The sequence below is a fragment of the Homo sapiens genome, chromosome 15, assembly GCF_000001405.40.
Source record: "Homo sapiens chromosome 15, GRCh38.p14 Primary Assembly".
In the NCBI taxonomy this organism is placed as follows: domain Eukaryota; kingdom Metazoa; phylum Chordata; class Mammalia; order Primates; family Hominidae; genus Homo; species Homo sapiens.
This window is the reverse complement of record NC_000015.10, coordinates 32496304-32506191: the sequence shown is the minus strand read 5'-3', so window position 1 is coordinate 32506191 and position 9888 is coordinate 32496304. Positions and strand designations below refer to the sequence as shown.

Here is a 9888-nt window from a genome sequence, read left to right as displayed (position 1 = left end):
GTAGCAGGATGAGCCGCAGACAAAACCTCTCAGACACCGAGTTGTAGAAGGAAGGGCTTTATTCAACTGGGAGCATCAGCAAGCTACTGCCTTAAAATCCGAGCTTCTTCGAGTGCACAATTTCCATCCCTTTTAAGGGCTCACAACACTAAAGATTTCATGTGAAAGGGTCGTGATTGATTGAGCAATCGAGGGGATACATGACAGGGGTTTCATGCACTGGTGGTCAGAGTGAAACAGAACAGAGCAGGGAGTTTCATAATATTCTTTTATACAATGCCTGAAATCTATGGGTAACATCGGGTTCTAAGTCATGAGTTGATTTTTAACTACTAGGTTTAGGCCGGGCAGGCCCAGGCCTGGTTTTGGGCCTGGTGCCAGGCTGCCTGTCTTTGATTTCACTTCCTTGTTTTTTTTCTTTTTTCTTTAAACAGGTACTGAGTATGAAACAATATAAAACAATATGAGAGGGTCTTTGTCTTCCCTCAATGAGATGGAGTCTCACTCTGTTGCCCAGGCTGGAGTGCAATGGCACAATCTCAGCTCACTGCAACCTCCACCTCTTGGGTTCAAGCGATTCTCTCACCTCAGCCTCCGGAGTAGCTGGGATTACAGATGCGTGCCAACATGCCCAGCTAATTTTTGTATTTTCTGTAGAAATGGGGTTTCACCCTGTTGGCCAGGCTGTTCTCAAACTCCTGACCTCAAGTGATCCACCCGCCTCGGCCTCCCAAAGTGCTGGGATTACAGGTGTGAGCTACCGCCCCCGGCCAAGCCTCTTTAATAATATATAATCCTTCTTTTCTTGGGAAGCCTGCGTACTACATAATGAAGTAGAAAGAAGTTGGGAGAATAGTAAGGAGGCATTTGTAAGAGTCCATGTGAGAAATCACAATAATTTGAATTACATAGAATAAGAAGAACTTTGGAAAGATGCTCTGAAAACAAGCAATAAGAAGATATTTCTGTAGAGAGGACCTGTGTGGCTTGAAGTCAATTGTGAGAGACAAGATGTTCACTGTACATAAGACGAACAGAGCGGTAAAGAGAGAGACTGGGCCCCTTCCAGCCTATGACTTAAGAGAGCTTCCATAAAGGTCTGCATGGTCTATGCTCATGACTTAAAACTAAGGGCCAGGAAAAGAGAGGAGAGGTAAAGACTCAAACTGAAGCAAAGGGCTCCTTGTTACAGTTTTGTGGGTGCAGTGACTCCCGAGGCAAAGTCCATATATAAGGATACAATGTGTTTGGGGGCATAGCCATTGGACCCTTTAAGTCATATTCTAGGCTACATAGCTTTTATGTCCAAAATGATCTGAGCTCCAGGACAGCTCTCTTATAGGAAACAATGCCAGATGAGGTCACTAGTGAAGGACTTGCTTTACCACAGGGAAATGGTACCATTTCTCTCAGGTCAATTAGGAGCTTTCAAAGAGAAATATAGATAGAGCTCCAATGTTTCAGGGCAGACAAAGTACAGTCAGGTGACATCTGCCATGCTGTGATGTAATACTGGCACTGTTGGTAAGATTATAATATTGACATCGAGAGCCAAATGTATTGTGAAATTCAGTTAAAAGTTTTCTGGCTCCCCCAGATATTAGTCATATAACAAGAATCGCAGTCAAAGAACAAGGGGTGGCTTGTTGCATAGTAATTAATTTGGCTGATCTTTTTCTCTGGGTCCTGAGAGGAGCCCTCTAAACCCTTGAAGTTTCCTATGATACAATTATATTTTGTTACTGATGGCGGGCCTGACAATATCTGAGCTTATGCTGTGGAGATGACACAGGATGGGGCCCATCACACCAGAAAGAACAACTGTGTGATTCAAGGGTTGGGCTTCGAAGCATGTGCTATCAGCCCAGCCTTCTGGGAGGAGAGAGAGGCTAGAGGCTGAGCTCAATAATGTGGCCAAAGATTCAATCCGTCATGTGTCCATAATGAAACCCTGATAAAAACTTTGGCCACGGAAGCTCAGGTGTGCTTTCCTGGGTAGTGATACACATCGATGCGCCAGGAGGGTGACTTGTCCTGAGGAAGCGGAAGTCATGTGTCTCAGGTCCTCCTAAACCTTACCCTAACGGTTTCTTTCTTTGGCTGGTCCTGATTTACATCCTTTATTATATAACTGTAATTATAACTACAGCTTTTTCCTGAGTAATGTGTTATTCTAGCAAAGTTGTGTATCCAATTTGAGTGGGTAGTGGGAATCTCCAGCTTTGTAGCCAGTTGGTCAGAAGTGTGTGTGTCCTGGAAGCCCCCTCCCCTGCTTGTAGCTGATGTCTGAAATGAGGGAGGCCCTTTTAAGGCCCTGTGCCCTTGACCTGTGAGGTTTGACCTAATTCTGTGTAGATAGCATGACAATTGCACTGCACAGGACAGATAACCACCCCAAAATCTAAAAAGAGAGGTACAAACAGACACTGCAACTGATAAAGCCTAGAGATGTGCTTCAGACAGCAGGAGCCTCTAGAGCTATTGGTCCAAACAATGAAATGACAATTTTAACAAACTGCTGGAGGAAGAGTTTCTTAGGAGGCTCCCTCCAGTAACCTCGCCATATTTTTATGGTAAGAATCCCCAAAAGATCCCTTCATGCCTTTGCAGAAGAAGGAAAGAGTGACCATTGTGAAATGTAACCAGAGCCTTCTCCAGGGGAAGGACTTTACCAGAGCTCCATTCTGATACTGTATCCAAGCTTGGGGAAAGGAATCCCCCCTCACTTCAGCTCTCTTTAGCCTTCTTTCATCACGTAGTGGCAGAAATAATCATCAACGGATAGAGTGCTTCATGGAGATATACTGGGAGCTCGGCAGCCAGGGAAAGGAGCTAGAAGGTGAACATGCTACTGGAGGAAAGGCAGACACAGCTGGGATAGCCACAGCCATGAGCTACTGGCTTAGGAAATGACCCACACTTCATTAGAAGGTTGGAGAATGCTTACTGTCTTCTATATCCTATCATCACTGTTATAAAGCTTGAGTTTAAAAGCAGTGACTACAGCTGTTTTCAGTGGAATGAACTGAAAGACACAGACTCACTATGAGGAGCAGTGCAGAGACAAGCTGTGAAGCCAGGCGAAGAGCCAAAACAAAGACACTAAAGGAATTTGGAACTTCTGATACTTATGGCTGCAACAAACATTAAACATAGCTTAACTCTTAACCAAATTAACATACATTCTCACATAAAGGCCTATGTACCTCAGTTGTTATTACCTAATGCAATATCTGTCTTTTAACAAAAAAATTACACAAGACACGTCAAAGGCAGGAAAAAACAGTCTGAAGAGAAAGCAATCATCAGAATCAAACTCAGATACGACACAGATGTTGGAGTACCAGAGACGGAATGTAAAAATAACTGTGATAAATATGTTAAGGGCTCTCATGAAAAAAGTAGACAATGTGCAAGAACAAATGGATAATATCAGCACTAAGATGGTAGCTTCTAAAAGCCCATGAGCCAAAGAAGAAATCTCAAAAAGTGTTTCAGAATAAATGAAAAGGAAAATATAACTCATCAAAACTTATGGGTTGTAGCTAAAGCAGTGCTTAGAAAATAATTTATAGCACTCAGTTTCTGTATGCATATATTACAAAGTAAGAATTAATAATATAAATAAATTACGCTTGCACCTTAGGAGCTTGAGAAAGAACAGCAATTTAAACCTGAAGAGAACACAGAAAAGAAATCCATGCAAATTAGAATATACATCAATAAAATTTTAAACAGGAAAACAATAGAAAAATTCAACAAAACCAAAAGCTAGGCTTTCACAAACGTAAATAAAATTGATAAACCTCTTCCCAGGCATGAGCGTACAAGATGAGAGAAAGAGAGAATACAAATTACCAATATCAGCAATGAAAGAAGAATCATTACTACTGATTATTGATACCGTGCACTTTTAAAAGATTCTAAGATTCTACAAGCAACTTTATCCTTGTAAATTTGATACCTTAAATAAAGTGGACCAATTCCTTAAAAGACACAAACTAATAAATTCATGCAAGGAAAAACAGACTAGCCCTATACATATTTTCTTTTTTTTTTTTTTTCTGAGATGGAGTCTTGCTCTTTCGCCCAGGCCAGAGTGCAGTGGCGCTACCTCGGCTCACTGCAAGCGTCACCTCCTGGGGTTCACGCCATTCTCCTGCCTCAGCCTCCCAAGTAGCTGGGACTACAGGCGCCTGCCACCGCGCCCGGCTAATTTTTTATATTTTTAGTAGAGACGGGGTTTCACCGTGTTAACCAGGATTGTCTTGATCTCCTGACCTTGTGATCCACCCACCTCGGCCTCCCAAAGTGCTGGGATTACAGGCATGAGCCACCGCGCCCGGCCGCCCTATACATATTTTCTAAAAATTAAATTAATAATAAAAACCTTCCAAAAAAGCAACAGGCTCAAGCTCAGATGATTACACTGGTGAATTATACCAGTGAAAAAATTATTCTCCATATTTTTTTTCCAGAAAAGAGAAGCAGAGGAAAAACCTCCCAACTCATTTTATGATATCATCATTACTCTAATCCCAAAACCAGATAAAGACATTACAACATTGAAAAGAAACTATAGATCAGTATCTCTTATGAACCTAGACACAAAAGCTTCCACCAAACATTAGCAAGTCAAATCCAGTAATGTAGAAAAAGGATAATACATCACAACAAAATGGAGTCCGTTTCTGAATATAAGGATTCAATATTTTAAAATACATCATTGTACTTTATCATATTAATATTAATAGACTAAGAAAAACAACACAATTGTATCAGTAGAAGCAGAAGAAGCATTAAACAGAATTCAAGACCTGTTCATGATAGAAACTCCACAAAGTAATGTGAACTATGGATTTTGAGTGATAATAATGTGTCAGTGTATGTTTATAGTTTATAACAAATGTACCACTCTGGTGTGGGGGGTTGACAGTGGACGGGACTGTGTGTGAGTAGGGTGTATAGGGGGACTTTGTGTGGGTAGGGTGTATATGGGGACTGTGTGTGGGTAGGGTGTATATGGGAACTGCGTGTACTTTCTGCTCAATTTTGCTGTGAACCTAAAACTGCTTTAAAAAAAAAAATAAAGCCAGCCAGCTGCGATGGCTTATGCCTGTAATCTCAGCACTTTGGGAGGCCGAGGTGAGCAGATCGTGAGGTTGGGAGATCGAGACCATCCTGGTTAACATGGTGAAACCCCATCTCTACTAAAAATACAAAAAATTAGCCAGGCGTGGTGGCACTCACCTGTAGTCCCAGCTACTTGGGAGGCTGAGGCAGGAAAATCATTTGAACCGGGGAGGCAGAGGTTGCAGTGAGCTCAGATCACGCCACTGCACTCCAGCCTGGGTGACAGAGCGAGACTCTATCTCAAAATAAATAAATAAACAAATAAATAAATAAAGCCTATTTTATAAAAAAGAAAAATTCAGCCGGGCACGGTGGCTCACGCCTGTAATCCCAGCACTTTTTTGGGAGGCCGAGGTGGGTGGATCATGAGGTCAGGAGATCCAGACCATCCTGACTAACATGAGTGAAAGAATGGAGTGGTATATAATGTAGCAGAGTTGATAATTTAAGGCTAATTCACTATATATCTCCAAGCAAATAGATTTGTAATGCTTTTCCTGCCTAAAATCTGTACAGCTGATTCACAAATACTTGGTTGACAGGTTTTATATATCAGTGTGGCTCATCAGCTTGTATGTTGTTGGGGCCAGAATCTATACTTACACTTCATTCAAATTTGATTTTACAGAAGAGTTGTGGTTTTTATTTTTCTTTTAATTAAGAGGGCTGTGAAATTATCAACTATAACTCTAAATCTCATTTAATTCCTCCCATTAGGATTCAAGATGGATTGGCATCAAAGTTCACTTCTTTAACAAAAGTGCTTTATGACCTTAATAAAATATTAGAGAATGGTAGGATCCATGGAAGCCCTTTACAAAAACTTGTGATAGAAAGTTTTGATGATAAGCAGACTTTGCAACAACTGGAATTGCAAAATGACCCAATTTTACAAAGCTTCCAGAATGCAGTTAGTGAAACAAAGATGAAGATATCAGTATCCCAGAGAGTGAAGAACAGGAGCATGAAGAGGATGGTTCAGAGACAGAGGCTGATGGCCAGGAGGACCTAGAAGATTTAGAGGAGGAGGAGGAAGTGTCAGATATGGGTGGTGACAATCCTGAAGTGAGTGAGAGAGCAAACTCAAGCAAATTCGATCCGACGAAAAGCCCAGTTCTCAGTGATGAGGATTCTGACCTTGACTTTCATATCAACAAATTGGAACAGCAGAGCAAGGTGCGAAACAAAGGACACGGGAAACCAAGAGAAAAGTCCATAGCAGACGAGAAATTCTTCCAACTCTCTGAAATGGAGGCCTATTTAGAAAACAGAAAAAGAAGAGGAACGAAAAGATGGTAATGATGATGACGTAGAAGATACTGATTTTTTTAAGATATTGATTCTGATGAAGATGAAGGGGCACTGTTTAGAAGTAAAAAAACTTAAGGTAAAATTTTGAGAGAGGAGAGAGCACTTTCCTCCTCCTCAAATTACCTTTTGTTCTGTTTTTCTAGGACAGATGTAATTGTAGTTAGAAGATTTGGATCTAAGAAATATTGTGCTCTATCTTATCAGTTATAAATGAATCTGTACTTCCATTCAGTTTCTGTTCCAGTTGTTCTTATAATAGTTTTATGGTAATGTTTTTAGTTGCTGATTTCACCTAATAACTATTTTTGGCTTGTAGTGTTATTAAGTTAGAAAGTAACGTAGACATACAGTATACACACAAATATATATGTGTGTGCTAACGATGTATTTTTCTCTTCCTAATTAATAGTTTTAAAAATCTTTTTATTTTAGTCAGGTAAAAGTTCCAGAAATGTGAAGGACAAAGACTTTTTTTGATCCAGTTGAAAGTGATGAAGACATAGCAAGTGATGATGATGATGATCTGGGTTCAAACAAGCTGATGAAATTGCTGAAGAAGCAGCAGAAGAACTAAGCATTTCTGAAATGTAAGTATTTGAACCATCCTTTATATTGTGAGCTGGAACTGTCCAATCATGTATTGGTACTTGTGGTTTTCACATATGTTTGTTTTAAGAAGTTAGATTCTCTCCTATCAGATATTCTCAAGATAGCCACAGGAAAGTCTGTGTATTTAAAGGGACATTAGAGATCATTTAATGAAGAAAAATATTACTGGCAATGGCAATCAAACCTTTCTGACCAGGAACTTTGATTTGGTTTTGTGCCCCAAAAATCCTGTTATTTCTGTGAGATTGAACAATTTATTTTCTATATATTGGACACTTTTTGTTCTGTTTCTTACATAGCATTTCACTTAAATGATACCTTCTGTTCCTTAATACCTGAATGATTTTGGAACTTCTGAGTATTTGGTTGCATTAGGCATATAAAAGAAGAACTTTATTAAGGGAAATATGTTTCCTTTTGTTTTTCTAATGGAAAGCAGTATATTTCTTTTTATAAGAATTTTGTAGTGTAGGGATGAAGATGATGACCTGGAAGAAAGTGAAGACAGTAAACAATGTAAAGAAAGCTTGAAAAGAGTGACCTTCACTTTGCCAGATGATGAGGCAATTGAAGATGCAGGTGTTTCACATGTAAAGAAAAATTCTGATGAAGTTAAATCCTCTTTTAAAAAAAGACAGGAAAAGGTAATTAGGAATTTAAGGAATTTTTAATATGCTTGACATGATTGTGGAACTCACAGACTACTAACAAATCTTCCCTATTTTTCTTTTTTTTTTCTTGAGATAGAGTCTTGCTCTGTCACCCAGGCTGGAGTGCAATGGCATGATCTCAGCTCACTGCAGCCTCCACCTCCCGGGTTCAAGTGATTCTGCCTCAGCCTCCTGAGTAGCTGAGATTAGAGGTGCATGACACCATGCCTGGCTAATTTTTGTATTTTTAGAAGACATGGGGTTTCACCGTGTTGGGCAGGCTGGTCTCGAACTCCTGACCTCAGGTGATCCTCCTGCCTCAGCCTCCCAAAGTGCTGAGGTTACAGGCATGAGCCACTGTGCCCCAGCCTTCCTATTTTTCTTGTTGTAACTATTAACCATCCTTTGCAAACAAATATCTTGGCCAGGTGCAGTGGCTTATGCCTGTAATCCTAAAACTTTGGTTGTCTGATGCAGGAGGATCGCTTGAGCTCAGGAGTTCAAGATCAGCCTGGGTGACATAGTGAGATCTTGTCTCTTCAAAAAATACAAAAATTAGTGGGGGCATAGTGGTGTATGCCTGTAGTCCAGCTACTCAGGTGGCTGAGGCAGGAGGATCACTTGAGCCCAGGAGGTTGATGTTGCAGTGAGCTATGATCACATCACTGCTCTCCAGCTTGGGCGGTGGAGCAAGATCCTGTCTTCAAACAAACAAACAAAACCAAAAATCTTGCTGCCACTCTCTAAAGCAAAAGCACACTATATGGAGATGCCATATGGAAAACATCTGATTTGCAAAAATCAGTGCCTGCATTACCCAGCCTATAGCTTTCAATTTGGGGCCTGTGTGTAAAATGGTTGTTTCTTTTCTGTCTCCCTTATGTCTTTATATGCATAGCATGTCTCTTCTGACAAAGCTGTCCCGACAGCCTCTTCTTGTAACTGTTTTGACTGCTCCGGAGGATGCCGCCTATGTCTTTAAGGTGCTCCACAGATTTTGGTGAGTGCCAAATAGCCGTAATTTTAATTAATACCATGACAAAGATATCTTCCAAAGTATGTCATGATTTCAGACAAGTGAAATTTCATTTAATTTTTGTAGATGTAGTCTGGCTCCAATAATTGGGCTATATTATTTATCCAATCTTAAAATTTTATTATAAAAATGAGAATAGTGCCAGGTACAGTAGCTCACACTTGTAATCCCAGCACTTTGGGAGGCTCAGAAGGGAGGATTGCTTGAGCCCAGGAGTTCGAGACCAGCCTGGGCAACATGTTGAAACCCCATCTCCACTAAAAATATAAAAAATTAGCTGGGTGTGGTAGCGTGAGCCTATAGTCTCTGCTACTCAAGAGGCTGATCGGGTATGATCGCTTGAGTCCAGGAGTTCAAGGCTGCAGTGAGCTATGATTGGACTATGGCACTCCAGCCTGGGCAACAGAGCTGCAGAATAGGTAAATAAATGATACCAAGAATATCAAAAGAATTATTTTTAAAATCTGTGAATCTAAATTAAATTCATCATTGTCAGATTGTCCCCAGAAGATAAATTCTAAAGGGAAAAAACAAAACATAAAATATCAACGAGTTAATGTCCTCCTGTCCCGCTCCTCCCACCCTCCCCCAACAAGAAAGAAAAAAAGGTTTGGTTTTGCTTTGAAATTATATCAGACCTTCAAGTAAAATTTTCAATAAATCACAAATAATTTATTGAAATTTCCACATATAAAGAATAAAGTAGAACTTTCAAACTTTTTTCTTTTGAAACTGTTCGAACATGAAAACCCAAACCTGACAAAGGTACCTGACAAAGGTAACATTAAAACACACACACTCTCTCATTCATGGCTAGTGATGCAAACATAGCACAGTGGGAAAATTATGCCGCACAATCACATGAAGCTCATTCCCTTGAATCACTACTAGAAGATCTGGTATGATTCCTGGTTGCAAGACATTAAGAAGAAAATACATGGTTCCCTCCATATATGTTAGAAAGACATTTGATAAAATTCAATATTTATTTCTAATTTTTTTTACTCCTAGTGGATTATAAATACATCTAGCCAAAAGCTGCCATCATGCATGATGAGTGAAACTGTAGAAACATCCCTTTAAGATCAGGAATAAGACAAAATGTCCAGTATTGCAGTTATCCCTGTTAATTAACACTAACAGTTAATA

General features: G+C 39.9%; 1 pseudogene; it reads left to right on the top strand.

Moving 5' to 3' along the window:
* Positions 1-1103: 1103 nt before the first annotated feature.
* On the top strand, positions 1104-7018 carry MPHOSPH10P2 (MPHOSPH10 pseudogene 2; annotated as a pseudogene).
* The last annotated feature ends 2870 nt before the right edge of the window (positions 7019-9888 follow it).